Source organism: Homo sapiens, chromosome 6 (assembly GCF_000001405.40).
Source record: "Homo sapiens chromosome 6, GRCh38.p14 Primary Assembly".
Taxonomy (NCBI): domain Eukaryota; kingdom Metazoa; phylum Chordata; class Mammalia; order Primates; family Hominidae; genus Homo; species Homo sapiens.
The window spans coordinates 38,399,170-38,416,490 of NC_000006.12; the positions used below are offsets into that span (position 1 = coordinate 38,399,170).

Sequence of the window (17,321 nt, forward strand, 5' to 3'; positions counted from 1 at the left end):
AAAGCTTTTCAATGGACTACATCTAAATCCCACTGATTTCTTAATCTTTCTAGACTTTAATATAATGCACCCAATACTACCTAGATTTAGAATATTTAGGATATCTGGAAGTAAATCTCTAAATCTTAAAATTGTCTACTAGATTAACTACAAATACTACACACATATAATCACATGAAAGGCAACAGTGCAAGTGAAAGAACGCTGGACTTGGGAGCATAAAGACTTGTTTCTGCTATGTTTTCTACTCATTGTATGAATTGCAGAAGCTTACTTAAACTTTGTGTCAATAAAATGAGTCAATAAAATGTCATTAAAATGAGGTTACCAGTAACTAATAAATAATTTAAATTCCCTATATAGGTTCACCAACCACCCCAGATGCGTTTGGTAATCTATGGCAGAGACTGTGAGTTGCCTATCCAAGAATCCATCTATTCTCTTTTTCCTAAGTAAAACAACCTAGATTTTTTTTTAAGCTGAACCCATAGCTGCCTAGAATAAAGGCTGTATTTCCCAAAGTCCTTTGCAGCTAGGAGTAGCCATCTGACTATGTTCTGATCTTTTCTTTCTTTCTTTGTGGTTTTTATTTTTTTCTTGAGACAGAATTTCACTCTTGTTGCCCAGGCTGGAGTGCAACGGCGCAGTCTCAGCTCACCACAACCTCCGCCTCCCGGGTTCAAGCGATTCTCCAGCCTCAGCCTGCAGAGTAGCTGGGATTATGGGCATGTGCCACCATGCCCAGCTAATTTTTTTTTTTTTTTGTATTTTTAGTAGAGACGGGGTTTCTCTATGTTGGTCATGCTGGTCTTGAACTCCTGACCTCAGGTGATCCGCCCGCCTCGGCCTCCCAAAGTGCTGGGATTACAGGTGTGAGCCACTGTGCCTGGCCTTGTTCTGATCTTTTCACTATTTTTGGCTTTCCTGTCACTCTTCCTTTCCAAGGCATACCTCTGTACCTGTGTTCCTGACCCCATCGGGTCCTGTTTCCTTCACCAGTTCCTTCTTCTACCTGTCCCATCAGCTATTTCTTCTCTGTAGTATCTTTAATTGCTCTCTCGCTGCTAGCCACTTCCTCTCAGCCCAGATCCTTAAGCAACACACCTGTTTTAAGTAATCAGCCCCTCTTATCTCCCCTTTCTTATCAAACTTCTAGAGCCCATAGTTTATATACCCACGTTCCACTTTCTCATAGGCTTAGTGTCTCAATCTATTCCTTTCTCCTTTGCTCTACTGAAACTAATCTGAAAAATCACTCAATGTCCTCTAAGGGCCAAACCCCATGGCCTCTTTTCAGTCTTTACCCCATTTGACAGCCTTACAGGTATCTAGCATGATTAACCACCCTTTCTCCCCAAAAGCCTTCTTTCCTCCGCCTTTTGTAACATCTTCCCTAGGTTCTTCTAATGCCTCTCTGACCAATCCTTCTCAGGTTCTTTTGCACCCTTATCCTTTTTCATTCACTCCAATCATCACTCCCTAGGATACCAGCCCAGATTCCCTCTTGTCTCAGCAAATACACAATCCAAGGTAGTTTAGTCTCTCTCAGAGCATCAACTACTTTTAAACGTTTATTTGGCTTTCTGATTACAAAAGTATTCATGCTCACTGTAACAACTTTAAAATAATTTTTTAAAAGAATTTATTTTGTGCCTGGTCTAGGTTAGGAATTCTCATGTGTACTATTTATTTAAGTTTCATCATAATCCTATGAGATAAACATCTCCTATTCCTTCTGCTACAGTGCTCCTTCCCCCACTTTAAACCAGGCTAATTACTTCAGGCCAGGTCATGGCTCAAGAGTCTTTTCCTTCCCTGACCTTCTTTCCAGATTAGGACATCATATTACTCTCTGTCATAGCACCCTGTTCTTTCCTTCCATAATATGTATCACAATTGGTATTTGATATGGTCTGGCTCTGTGTCCTCACCCAAATCTCATCTCGAATTGTAATCCCCACATGTCAAGGGAGGGACCTGGTGGGAGGTGACTGGGTCATGGGGACTGTTTCCCCATGCTGTTCTCATGATAGTGAGGGAGTTCTCACGAGAGATGATGGTTTAAGTGTGGCACTTCCTTGCTCTTCCTCTTCTTCTCTCTCCTGCCACCATGTAAAATGTGCCTTGCTTCCTCTTTGCCTTCTGCCATAATTGTAAGTTTCCTGAGGCCTCCCCAGCCATGCAGAACTGTGAGTCAATGTTAAACCTCTTTCCTTTATAAATTATCCAGTCTCAGGTAGTATCTTTATATCAGTGTGAAAATGGACTAATACAGTATGTATACACCTTTTGTTTACTATGTTTGCCTCCAGGCTCTATAATGGCTCAAACAGTCTTGCTGAAGGATCCTTTGAAATTAAAATTTCCCAAAGGAGGAACAGAATCATTGTTGTATAAAAGTGAAATGATCAACCCTGGTAAAGAGACAAGAAGTAGAGACCTGGAGAATATTTCCATGTTGCTTAATCTATTGTCTAGGTTCCAGGATAGAGCTATTATGAATTATTCACAAAAAGGCAGTATGTATAGTCAAATGGTTAAGAAAACAGGCTTTGGAGTGAGTGACCTGGGTTCAAGTTCCAGCTCTGCCACTGATTTATCGTAGGACTATGGACAAGGATTCTTCATTGTAAAATGAAGACAAAAGTTAGCATTAAATGAGAATAATTCATTGTAACATACATAGCAGCTTAATGCCTGACACCTAGTAAGTGTTCAACAAATGTTAACTATACATACTCTACTCTTTAAAAGAATCCTAAGGAAGACTACAAGTGGCTTTCTATATTGGTTCCAATATATTTGAAATTATAACCAGAAGATGTTCTTTAAAATTGCTAATATAATCAATACACAAAATCAATTGTATTTCTATAAATGAACAATGAAAAAATGAAAATAAAATTAAGAAAACAATTTCATTTACAATAGCATCAAAAAGAATAAAATATTTAAAATATATTTAGCAAATATGCAAGACTAGTACATTGAAAACTATAAAGTATTGTTGAAAGAAATTTTAAAAGTCCTAAATAAATGGAAAGACATTCTGTGTTCATGGATTAAAAGATTTAATATGTTAAGGTGACGATACTTCTCAAAGCGATCCATAGATTCAATGCAATCCTTTTCAAAATCCCAACACACTTATTTGTAGAAATTGACAACCTGATCCTAAAATTCATATGGAAAGAACCCAGAATAGCCAAAACAATCCCCCATCCCCAAAAGAGTTAGAAGAATCACATTTCCTGATTTTAAAACTTATGACAGACCACAGTAATCAAGATAGTGTAACACTGGCATAAGGGTAGACATATAAACCAACAGAATAAAATTGAGAGCACAGAAATAAACCCATACATCTATGGCCAACTGATTTTTGACAAGGCTGCCAAGACAATTCAAAGGGGAAAATGTGCCTGGGACAACTGGATGTCCAATACAAAAGAATGAATTTAGACTCTTGCCTCACACTGTATATAAAAAGTAACTAAAAATGGATCAAAGACCTAAACATAAGAGTCAAAACTATAATACTTTTAGAAGAAAATAGAGGTGTATGTTATCATAACCTTAGATTAGGCAACAATTTCTTAGCAATGAAACCTAAATCAGCAAGACTTGGTGGCTCATGCCTATAATACCTGCACTTTGGAAGGCCAAGGAGGGAGGATTGCTTGAGCTCAGGAGTTCGAGACCAGAGTGGGCACCATAGTGAGACTCCATCTCCACTAAAATTAGAAAAAAAAATTAGCTGGACTTTGGTGGTGTGCACCTGTCATCCCAGCTACTCAGCTGGTTAAGGTGGGAGAATTGCTTAAGCCTGGGACACAGAGGCTGCAGTGAGCTATCATTGCACTCCAGCCTGGGTGATAGAGTGAAACCCTGTCCAAAGAGAGGAGAGGGGAGGGAAGGGGAGGGGAAGGGAGGGGAGAAGAAGGAAAGAAAAAAGAAAAGAAGAGAAGAGAAGAAAAGGAAAGGAAAACCTAAATCACAAGCAACCAAAGAAAAAATAAATTGGACTTCATCAAAATTTAAAACTTTTGTGCTTCAAAGGACATTATCAAGAAAGCAAAAAGACAACCCACAAAAGGAGAGACAATATTTCCCCACAAAATTAAATCATATATCTGATAGGGTTCTGGTAATTATATACATATGTATATCTTAAAACTCAACAATTTTAAAAAATCCAATTAAACAATGGGCATATAAACAAAAACCAACTCAATTTAAAAAGGCATAAAGAATCTGGATAAGACGTTTTCCAAATAAAACCCTGTAAATCCCCAATAAGCATATGAAAAGACACTCAATGTTATTAGCCATCAGGTAAATGCAAATGAAAACCACAACTGATATACCCACAAGGATGGCTATAATCAAAAATGTCTGATAATGACAATGAGTGTTGATGAGAATGTTGAGAAATTAGAACCATTTCATACTACTAGCCGGAATGTAAAATGGTACAGTTTCTATGGAAAACAGTCTGGCAGATCGTCAAAAAGTTAAAGACAGAATTTCCATATGACCCAGCAATTCTACTCCTAGTTATATACTCAAGGGATCTGAAAACATATGTCCATACAAGAACATGTACATAAATGTGTATAGCAGCATTATTCACAGCAGCCAAAAGACTAAAATGGCCCAAATATCCATCAACTGATGAATGGATAAGTAAAATACTGTATATTCATACAATGGAACATTATTCAGCCATAAATAGAAATGAAGTACTGATATATGCTATAACACAGATGAACCTTGAGAGAATTATATGAAGTAAAAGAAGCCAGACACAAAAGGCCACATATTGTATGATTCCATTTACATGAAATGTCCAGAATACACAAATCCATAAAGACATAAAGCAGATTAGTGGTGGCCAGGGGATGGGGAGAGAAGGGATTGGGAAGTGACTGCTTATGGATACTGAGTTTCTTTTTAGGGTGATAAAAAATGTTAGTGGTGATGGATGCACAACCTTCTGAATACACTAAAGACCACTTAATTGTACACCTTAAAATGGTGAATTTATGGCATATTAACTATATCTCAATTTTTAAAATTCCAAAATAAGCCGCTAATATAAATCCATTCCTTTAGCACACTAGCCCATTTTCTTTCCTCAGCAGACTTAGAGAACAAGTACTCTTCATTTACCATAGCATGATTTTGTGAGTCTTTAATATCTTCAAACAGTAGTAGACCCAGTTAGGTAACCTTACTTGATACAGAAGTAGAATAGACAAATTTGCATCTTATCTGGCACAGTTCCAAAACAGAGGATGCATTCATTACCGACAGCACAGCTAGGACAATAGAAGAATCACACATTTGAAAAGTGAAAGCTTCCGCCCAGAGCAAGTCAATAAAAAAAAACAAAACCCCAAACTACTAACTCTTCATCCCTGAGCCTGCCTGGCATGCATGGGATCTCATTCTGCCAAAAACCAAATTCAAAACAAATATCAAGATTCTAGGGAGGGCAAAGTTCAAACAAGCAAAAGCATTTCTAGTTGTTACTGCAGATAAGGGATAAACTGATGTGTTTCATTCTGGGCTTGTTATTATCAAATTGACCCTGGCCAGCAGAGGATAAAATTAGGATGGTTTCACTCCAGGTAAAAAGGTAGAGCTCAGTTCCAGAGTGGCCCGCACTTGAAATACTTTCTACTTCAATTAATTCTGTCAGAAAAGAGACAAATTCAGAAATCTCTTCAGGTTAGAGCCCTAGCCCTTTTCAGTGTTGTAAAATTCATACTGGGAAGAGGCTGAGGTAGGAAATATTACTGTCATCACTGAGGCTTTCAGTGCTTATTGTCAATCGTTATGAAACGATCTTGTCTGATTCATACCTCTAAACAATCAGAAGAAATCAAAGTAACAATGTAAGAGTTTCAGGAACAAATACAAAACTTGCCTGATGGTTGTAGCTTTGAGTTGTGCAATTCTAGGAATGTACCATGATCTCTGGCTTCTATCCAGAATGCTAAATAGACAATCTATCTGAGGAAGGGCCTGATCCCTCATACCTGGCCTGGGCAGGTCTGTGACTACATGTGTATCACTCGCTTTGAACCTGATACCCTATAAGACAAGGGAAGAAAATCTGGAAACTGGCAAAACAGTTAAAAAAAAAATTGGACAGTCATTGTAGGGCTCCTGCCAACTTCTGGTTTCTTGCCATAGAGAGTAATGATTCCTGCCAGTCACTTAGAAAAAGAATAGCTTCTAGAAAAGCTAAATTGCTATGACCTGAAAGCAGCAACTCTGCATCAGCACATAAAAACTTATAGGAAGTTGGAAGTCTGAAAAATCAGATTCATATTCAGAAATTTAATCTCTCCTCCAATACTGAAGCTATAATGAGAAATAAGCTCCTGCAAAAACACATATTAATCATTTTATTGGTTCTGTTGTTAAAAAAAAAAACAAACAATAACACCCAGCTAGTGTTACATTCTCAGTGCAAATGATATAAGGTTTTGTGATGGCAAAACCTTCAAATTATTTTATCCATATTTGTTCTATAACTTTTTAATACTAAATATTCCCAAATAAATAGAAGTCAATGGACTCAGGAAAGCAGCCATAAAGCCTATTTGAGTTTCCATACTGATCGCAGATCTTCTAGTGTTGGTCTAAATATTCTAGTGATAAACAATTCAGCACCTAGAATAATTCTCCATGTCAGCTGTGCACAACAGTTACAAATGAAATTTTGAAAATGTCTTTGGGGGAATAAAAGCTTTGTGAAGATGCTGGGGGAGGGGCAGTGAAATGTGGGTGCTTCAGAAATCAACAACAGTGGACAGGATGTTAATGAGCTATGACGTCAGCAGAGACATGTATTGGTAAGCTACTATTCAAGTGGGCTCAACTTTAGGCCTCTCAACCCAAAACCTGAGCTTAGATCCAACACACATTCATAGGTCTTTAGGTAAAAGGCAAGGGAAGATAAGGAAAGAAATTCTTCACAACTCTGTAGGACAGGGACCTAGCACCTTCTTATAAATCTTTGGCTCCTACACAAATCTAACATTTTAGAGTCCCAGAAAAGAGTAACCATAAGGAGCATCAGCATAGGCCAAAGGCAAAATTCTTTGCCAAGCTCTAAGTGCTGTTGAGATTTTGATCTAAAGCCCGAGAATTGATTGTGTGTGTGTTTTTTTAATCTCCAAATTCTACTGACTATCAGCAAGTTGAAGCAAGCCCCACATCACACTGTAGAGGAATATACATACATTACCATTCCATTAAATTTCTTGTCAGAATTGGTACTTGGAAAAGACCTCTTAGATTAGGGAATACATTTTCATTTACAGTAAGGAGTTGGCATTCCCAATTCCCAGTGGTAGTACTAGAAGAATTGGAAAAATAATTTTCTGATACTCTTACTCTCAAAAACAATGTTAGAAGATTAAAAGACTAGTCCTGGATATGCAATCTTAATAAGAAGAATCACATTGGGGAAACTAAATTTCTACAGGTATCGTGTCATCTGAAATCAATAATCACCTTGGTGAGGAAGGTAGGACAAAGTACTTTCTTATTATGATATTTTAATGGGGATCACACTTTGCTGCCCAGGCTGGAGTGCAGTGCCTATTCACAGACACGACCACAGTGCACTGCCGCCTCAAACTCCTGGGCTCTAGCAATCCTCCTGCCTCAGCCTCCTGAGTAGCTGGGACTATAAGCGAGTGCCACTATGCCTGGCTATGATTATCACCATGCTCAAGGAAGCTCAATGACCAGTCTGAGCAGGATTCACATGGTAAGTAGCAGAACCAGGTCTGGAAGTGAAGTCAGAGTTCAAATTCCTTGTTCTGTTTCCACTACCTGGCTGTCTTTTGTAAGGAGAATGGGAGGCAGAAATGGGAGTGAACAAGAAGAAAGCAGAATAAAAATGTATGTTGCACCTGAGTATTTCTCAAATAGATTTTAATTTTATTTTCCTACAGGTTTGGAAAAGTATTTGATGACATCTTAACTGTTTAAACTTTTATTTTCCTTTTGAATCCGACTTGCAACACATCTGTTGATCACATATAAAATAAAATTGCCAGAGATTAAGCAATGAGTTGTTTTCAATAAATTCTAACTTTTGTTCCCAGTCCAATTCAAATGGCAACTTTCAGAATGAGGCCAAATTGAAAGATCATTTCAGAGCAATAAAAGAGGAAGTTCTTTCAGTAGGGAATCACTTTTGAGTTCTAGTTCTTTGCAATGTTATATTTAAGACCAATTACTTATCCAGTATGCCTGTGTACCAGCCTGGCTATGCCCGGATCAGGACGAGAAGCAGACCAGCCACAGTTCTTCCTGTGTGCAACCTGCAGCAGCCCCTTGCAGAGTCTAGCTGGGGTTTTGAAGAATTCTAGTCATGCATTTAATAAAAGTCATTTTCCCAATGTGCTAGACTTCAGTTCTAACTTGGAAAAAGGGAGCTAAGTTGGGTAAAGTTAAATGTGGGGAAATATGCAGGACAAAATCAGCTAAGTGACTGCTTTCAACAAAAACCAAAAACTATTTCATTTTCCATGGGTATTTTCACAATGTTTTCCTATGTTCATGACTATAAAGATGATCAATTGTAAATCCTGAAGTAGCAATGGAAATAATTATCAAAACTGGATTCAATTAGAAGACTAACAAAATCCATCATGCTTGCCTTTCCATCCAGATAAATTCAAGAATCCCTGCATTCAAGGTCCTCAATGGAACAACTCTGATGTATAATCAGATCAAAGGAAAGCTGTTTTTGCTTTCTTTTTGGAGATAATTTATTTTTCCTAAAAAAGGAATCCCAATGAAACAGCTGATACATAACCTAAAATTAGGCCACTTTACTTACTAACACTTGAAGGACACGATTTAAAATCATGGCACTGGCAAAGCGTGGTGGCTCATGCCTGTAATCTCAGCACTTTGAGAGGCCGAGGCAAGAGGATCACATGAGGCCAGGAGTTCGAGACCAGCCTGGGCAACACAGTGAGACCCCCATCTCAAAAGAAAATAGAAAAATTAGTTAGGTGTAGTGACATGCACCTGCAGTCCCAGTTTCTTGGGAGGCTGAGGCAGGGGGATCACTTGAGCCCAGGAGTTCAAGTCTGCAGTGAGCTATAATCGTGACACTGCACTCCAGCAACAGAGCAAGACCCTGTCTCTAAACAAAACAAAACAAAACCAAAAAAACAGTTCTCATATTCTCTTACTTCCTTTGCCTACTATTCTAATGCTTAAAGGTTAAATACATTGAAGAGAATCCAAAAAGAATCCAAAGCTTTGTGATCTGGATAGGGGATGAACCCACCAATGTTTGTTTTTCCTTTGCTCGGGTTGAAATAATTCCAAGACTGCCACATTGACACCTTAGCCTTACATCATGAGATATAGTTGTTAAGGTCACTATATTTGCATGTTGGCTTAACAAGAAAAATCCCTGAAAAACCACTGAACATACAAACTATAAATACTCCAAAGTAAACAGTTGCTGTGTAGAATCAACAAAAAAAGAATATATGCAAAGAGGGAACATCTTTTATTATTTCCTAAGTCTTACCAACAACAGGCTTCCAAATTAATTTTGTCTTTACCCCTCTTTGTCCGAAAAACTAAGGCTAAAAGCAGTAGCATTTCTACCATCCCTCCCTCACTCAGTCCATTCTCAGGAAACACAGAGCCCAAAGGAAGTATCCAAAGGAAAATGATACGAAATTCTAATGCTTAGGTACTACTTCAGGTACCAGTGCTATAGAAAAAGACCAAAGAGAAATAATTGGTGGACAGGCGCAGTGACTCATGCCTGTCATCCCAGCACTTTGGGAGGCCGAGGCAGGTGGATCACTTGAGGCCAGGAGTTCGAGCCCAGCCAGGCCAACATGGTGAAACCCTGTCTTCACTAAAAATACAAAAACTAGCCAGGCATGATGGCAGGTGCCTGTGATCCCAGGTACTTGGGAGGCGGAGGCAGGAGAATCGCTTGAACTAGGGAGGTGGAGGTTGCAGTGAGCTGACATCACATCACTGCACTCCAGCCTGGGTGACAGAGACAGACTCCATCTCAAAACAAAACAAAACCCAAGACAAATAATTGGTGGCCTACAACATAATGTGAATTAACTTAATTCCTTAAGCAAGCTTAATCAGCATACTTTTCTGAGATATTCTATAAGGGCTTAATAAGTGTTCATTAGTTTTGAAATGGGAGAAAAGATGTAAGATAGAGTACCCTGTAGTTGTTTTTTAAATACTTATTTTTAATCTATATTTCTAAAATTCAGGAAAACAGATGTTCATAAACTCCTGTTTACTGATTAAGAATTTCTTGAAAAGGCTATCTCTAAAATATGTGATCTGGCTGAGCATGGTGGCTCACGCCTGTAATTCCAGCACTTTGGGAGGCCGAGGTGGGCAGATCACCAGGTCAGGAGATTGAGACCATCCTGGCTAACACAGTGAAACCCTGTCTCTACTAAAAATAAAAAAAATTAGCCAAGTATGGTGGTCCGTGCCTGTAGTTCCAGCTACTTGGGAGGCTAAGGCAGGAGAATCTCTTGAACCCAGGAGGTAAAGGTTGCAGTGAGCCGAGATCATGCCACTGCACTCCAGCCTGGGCAACAGAGCAAGACTCTGTATCAAAAAATAAATAAATAAATAATAATAAAATAAATAAAATATGTGAGCTTATGGGTGGTTGTACAAGTGTGTGATTTCCTGAGTATAAAACCAAAAACAAGGCATAATTCGAACTAATTTATCCAGTCAGTTATCTCCCTAGCATGAACCCAATTCTGTAATCATTTTCTAGAGCTAAACCGTTATATTTTCTGGGCTCTAACACATCAATGAGTTTTTATTTTAAAAAAAGAAATCATTCCACTTGCTCAAAGAAATTAATGACTTAAAGAATATCAAGAGTTTTTATTTGAATATGTTTACATAGTTGATAAAATCCAAAACATCTATCTCTTATATCTTAGAATTAGAAACAAAAATCTAGTTGTCCAGGCATGGTGGCTCACACCTATAATCCCAGCACTTTGGGAGGCTGAGGCGGGAGGATCACTTGAGTCTAGTAATCACTTGAGACCACCCTGGGCAACTGTGTGAGACCCCCACATCTACAAAAAGTTTAAAAATTAGCCAGGCATGGTAGCATGCACCTGTAGTCTCAGCTACCTGGGAGGCTGAGGGGAGGATCACTTGAGCCCAGGAGGCTGGGGCTGCAGTGAGCCGTGACCACACTACTGCACTCAAGCTTGGGTAACCAAGTGAGACCTTATCTCAAAACAAACAAACAAAAAAAAGAATAAAAAATAATGTTAATGGAATAATCTCAAAAACTTAGCATTTTTTATTCCATGAAACTGAAGAACTGTGCTATGGAAGATTTTTTAAATGAACAGCTCTAAAATAACTTTCATTGATAAGAAAACATGAAAATATTACCTGGTCATGTAACACCTATGAATTAAACATCTTCAGTGAGGAAGTTCCTTAGAGAATGATACTGAATGACTAACTTAACAATGCAACAGTGTGCAATGTCATGTCACGAGGGCCGGGTACAGTGGCTCACACCTATAATCCCAACACTTTGGGAGGCTGAGGTGGGAGGATCACTTGAGCCTGGGAGTTCAAGACCAGCCTGGGTAACATAGTGAGACCCTGTCTCTATAAAAAATAATTTAAAAAAACAAGAAAATATCATGTCATGAATTCACATATTATTCATGCAAGTGGTTCCCTGCATGTATCTCCAGTCCAACCTCTCTCTCTTGTGACCTCCTGTCCCACATTCTGATTGCTGACCAGGTAGTTCTACTTGAATATCCTTACCAACTCTCCATACTCAACCTGGCCCAAACTGAGGGGCAACATGCATAAAAAAGAACATGGCATGAAAGTAGACTTGCACGCCGTGTTCTTGGAGAGGAAGACAAGATCAGAGGATGCCACTACTCTCTAATTCTAATTAATAACATCTCAGTAAGAATACCATAACCCATTCCCCATCAAAATTAGATAAGTTGATTATAAGGCTAATTTAGAAGAGCAATCATGCAAGAATAGCCAAGAAAACCCTGAAAAAGAAGAGCAGATATTAAAACATGTTATAAAGCCTCTATAAATAAAATAATGTAGTATTGGCACATGAATCGACTGCTCAGTGGTGTGGAGTAGAAAACCCAAGATATAGAGCCAAACTACATTTGAAATTGTATGTTTATTATTTAACAGAGGCAACAACGCAAATCAGGGATGGGCTTTTTAATAAGTATTGTTGGGTTAACCAGATGGCCATACGGAAAAAGATAAAATCGGATACATTCTTTCTCAATGTGCTTTAGTTCCAAAGCAAACAAACAAAAAATCAGATCCATCTTCATACTGTACATGAGGATAAATTCCAAATGAATCAAAGACTTAAATATAAAAAATGAAAAAATATTAAGCATAAAAAAAATGCCAGGTGTAGTGACTCACACCAGTAATCCCAGCACTTTCGGAGGCCAAGGCGGGCAGATTACTTGAGCTGAGGAGTTTGAGACCAGCCTGGGCAACATGGCAATACCCCGTCTCTATAAAAAACATTAAAAGTCAGCCAGACACGGTGGCGTGCACCTGTAATCCAAGCCACTCAGGAGGCTGAAGTGGGAAGATCGATAGAACCCAGGAGGCAGAGGTTACAATGAGCCAAGATTGTGTCATTTGGGCAACAGGGCAAGACTCTGCCTCTGCCTATATATATATATGTGTACACACATACACACACATATACACACACACATACATATATATGTACACACACATATATATAAAATAAAATAATTTTAAAATGGGTCAATTCCTCTATATTCTGAAAGTAGAGAAACATTTCCTATGTGACTCATCATCCAGATGCAAAAAGGAAAAAGACTGATCAATCTGACTACATAAAAAACAAAATTCTACATACTAAAAACAAAAAAAAGCAACACAAAAGTACAAACAAAAAACTGAGAAAAAATATCTGCGACTTCTATCACAGAGAGATTAATATTCCTAATATATAAAGAATTCCTAAAATAAAGAACTGAAGCCTGTGTTGAAAACTGGAAGACAGAACCAAGCGGAGTTCACAGAAAAGATCGGCAAGCATCCCCAAAACACACGAACATATGCTCAACTTCCTTCTCGATAACAGAAATGAAAAGCTCTCACCAACTAGATCTCTCAAAGTTTGAAAAACATACTCTGTTGTTAAGAGTGTAGGGAAACAGGCCCTCTCATACACTGTGGGTAGGAACTGGGGACATTTGAGGGAGCAGCTGAAGTCTTACGACTATGTAACAGTGTACAAAGGAGCCAGCAGCCATTTGGACTACATTAAAAAAAAAAAAAAAGTCTGACCAGGTGCGGTGGCTCACACCTGTAATACCAGCACTTTGGGAGGCTAAGGTAGGCAGATCAAACGAGGTCAGGAGTTTGAGACCAGCCTGGTGAACAGGGTAAAACCCTAACTCTACTAAAAATACAAAAATTAGCCGGATGTGATGGCGTGTGCCTATAATCCAAGCTATTCAGGAGGCTGAGGCTGGAGAATCACCTGAACCCAGGAGGTGGAGGTTGCAGTGAGCCGAGATCAGACCACTGCACTCCAGCCTGGGTGACAAAGCGAGACTCCATCTCAAAACAACAACAACAACAACAACAACAAAACAGTCGGAAATTTTGTAAACTGCCTTAGAAATTCCCAGTCTAGCCCACTGTGTATAGTTGTATATGATGAGTAGTTGCACATGGACTATATAAAGTGGTACTTAACGGAACTGTTCAATGTGTGGCCCTGCTACCAACCGCCTAACCCTTAGGAAATCATTTCTTCCTACCAAACTCTTCTTTTGATTCAAATTAAGCTTAGTCCTTCCATCTCCATCCTTTCCTTCTTTCCTTCCTTCCTTCTTTTTTCTTAACTATGCCCTTAGGGAGGACAATAACATCCCTCTTTTAAAAAGTATTCTTTCCCAAACTTAGACTCCTCTTCAGTAACGTGGCTTAAACTAGGAAAGACAAACTGAAATGTCCACGTGGGTGGCATGCGAGCTGGATGAGGACAGACTGGAGAACATATGCTTATACTCACTGCAGTGAGGCAGCGGGGGCTGTGGATCTGATGTTGAAAAAGTTTCCTATTTTTCAAGAGCAGCTGGTGATTTGGATATTTTTAAGAGAAATTTCCCAATTTTTAAGAGCTGGCATCCAATTTTTATTTCCTTACACTGTATAGGCCAAACAAAAATGCCACTGTTTAGACCTCTAGTTTGCAAGGCCTGTTTTACATCTTTTCTCAGCAGGCTTATTTTTTAACCAATTAATCATCTAGATTGCTCTTCTCTAGACCAGCCAGTTATTCATCACTTTCAAAATACAGAGATCAAAAAGGGACATCATTTTCTAAGAATGTGATGTGACTGGTACATCTCTGTTTTACATGTCATTTTCCTGTACAAACATTCTAGGACTTCATGCTTTTTTTAAAGAGTAGTGTATCCCATCCTATGCTGGAACTTGCTCATGGTCACACAACTACTATTTTTTTTAAACAATATTCTAATTAGAAACCAATTACTTTGATGCCTGGTTCAGCCCTTCTGTCTCACTGACCTACTGTGTAACCTTCAAGTTTCCCAACCATAAAATGAGAATAATAATAATAATCCATAAAATGGTTGTAATAAGGTGTCTATTGATGGGGTTTTCGTGAAGACTGAATGATTTGTTATGTGTAAAGTGTTCTGCACAATGCCTGGCACCTAGATACACTTTCCAGACAAAGTGACAAGTGCTGTTATTGTAGCTATTATGCAGCTATATGCTCATTTAACATAGTCCAGAGTACCCCCAAAAGTTTCACAGAAGTTTAGGTGTTACATTTATTACCTTATCTTTATGTTTGTGGACTATCACTAAAAGAGACTGAACTGACAAAATTCGCCATTTACAAAAACAAAATCATTGCTATTCAGTACCTTGTGCTTGTGAAGGTGCTTATTTTAAGTGGATTGCTTGATAATATGTTGTAATATTCTCCCTGCTATCTGGAATAGGAAGACATCCATAACTACTGGGGTCATCCAGAAGGTATTCTCTCATTCTTATAGCTGTCTTTTGTGTTCCATGGCATCTCATACATAATAGCTAATAGTGGCTCTCCCAATAAATTTTACTCATTCTCTGAATAATGAAGGATGTAAGTCACAAGGCCCTGATGATTTGAATTCATCATTTTTCCCCCAACCATATATTATTTTTTAAAAACAACCAACAGAAAGACCCTTTTCTCCCTCTGGCTACTGCCCTTTCTCCTTTTTTCTTTTTCCTTCACATCAATCTCCACTTTCTTTCTTCCCACTTATTCCTCAGCATGCTGCCTGCCATTGGTCTTCCACCCCCACTACTCCATGGGATCTGTTCAGATATTTTTCAGCCCTGCTGACTGCTATGCACTCTTAATGTAACTGACTACCCCATTCTTCTGTGATATCACTCTTCCTTTTTTTCTTCCTGCCTCTCCTATGCTGTTCATCAGTATCCTTCTCCTTTATGCATGGCCCTCTCCCTTTATGCTGTCCCATAAACAAGGGTGCTATTTAAGAGTTGTGCCCGGCTTTCTCCTTTTACTTTATATACCTGTCCTAGGCAACTCATGTATATCATGATTTTAGCTACTCTCCTAAAACTACTGACACCCAAATTAAGAATTACTAAGCTCCAGACCCATACTTTCAATTGCCTACTAGACACTTCCCCTAAAAGGTTCTACAGGTACTTTAAACCCTAAACATCTAAAATAAAAGTTATCATCTCAATGTTCCCACTCTAAGTTGCTTTTTTCCCCTTTCTAACGTAGCAAATGGCATCATTATCAATATAGACCTAGCTACCTACAAAGGCATACCTTTCGTAGGTAGCATAATGACCCTCCCCAAACATGTCCATATCCTACTCCCCAAAATCTGTGAGTATATTAGACTATATGGCAAAGAGAATTAAAGTTGCAGATGGAATTAAAGTTGCTAATCAGCTGACTTTAAAATGGGGAGATTATTTACCCTGGATTATCTGGGTGGGAACAATGTAATCACAAAGGCCTTTAAAAGTGGAAGAGGAAGGCAGAGATTGCTAGCTTTGAAGAGGGAAGGGAGCCATGAGTCAAGGAACATGGGTAGCCTCTAGAGTCTGGAAAAGCAAAGAAAATGCTTTCTCCCTTAGAGCCTCTAGAAAGGAATGCAGCCCTGATGACATCTTGATTTTAGCCCAGTGAGACCCATTTTGGAATTCTGACTTCCAGAACTCCAGGATAATTATTTCGTGTTGTTTTAAGCCACGAAGTCTGTGGTAATTTGTTACAACAGCAATAGGAAACTAATACAGCACCCAAGGTAGAAGGTGGAGAGTTATCCTCTACTTCTATTCAATTACTCTCTAAGCATTGCAGCAGTTATTACCTAAATAACTTTCAAATCCAATTCCTCTTCTTCTTCATCCCCGTTATTGCAACGTGATAATATTTCATCTAGACTATCACAGCCTCCTACTGGTTTCTGTCTTGAGTTTGGCACTCTCATCTATCTCCATTCCTATCCACTGATCCTCCATTCTTGCTAGGCTGCCCAGGCTGCAGTCCTTAAAAAAAAAAAAAATTCTGCCTCACTCATATTTCTTCAAATGGCTCCTCACTGACTTCGGGATCAAGTTCAAACACCCTAACAGAGTCTATGAAGTCCTAACAGAGCCAGAGAAGTTGGCCAGAACCAGACAGATTGGCTAGATGTAGCATCAAAACATCGCTAAGGCACTATACATTGCTAGAAATGTAAAGAAAGAGAGGAAAATTACACTTAACAGAATTCCATAGTACCAAGTACTCTATGAGACTGGAGAAAAACACTTCTGATTAGCCACTGGGAGGTGGGTAGGGTAGGGTAGGGTGGAATGAAAGCCCCAAAGAGATTCTTCAGTGGCACAGATAGATGTTGAGTTGTAGATAGTTGGGATAACAGGCGTGAGCTACCCTGCCTACCCTAATCTCTTTATTTGTAAGGGCAGCTTCTAAGAGGTAGTGCTGTAGTCAGCCCTATGGAGGAGTCAGGTGTCCCCCTCTGTACTTTTTTTTTTTTTTTGAGATGGAGTCTTGCTCTGTCACCCCGGCTGGAGTGCAGTGGCGTGATCTCGGCTCACTGCAAGCTCCGTCTCCCGGGTTCACGCCATTCTCCTGCCTCAGCCTCCCGAGTATCTGGGACTACAGGTGCCCGCCACCA

The 17,321-nt window shown here is 39.0% G+C and overlaps 1 protein-coding gene across 8 annotated transcripts in view; it reads right to left on the reverse strand.

The window, feature by feature from the left end:
* Positions 1-17,321, reverse strand: part of BTBD9 (BTB domain containing 9) — a 471,479-nt gene that overhangs the window by 230,719 nt on the left and 223,439 nt on the right. The window contains exon 6 of one of the 8 annotated variants that reach the window (NM_001172418.2): positions 3,648-3,734. The exons of the other annotated variants lie outside the window; for them this stretch is intronic. Within the exon in view, the coding sequence (NP_001165889.1) occupies positions 3,648-3,734 (87 nt within the window). The remainder of the gene's footprint in view (positions 1-3,647; positions 3,735-17,321) is intronic. 8 annotated transcript variants of the gene reach the window in all.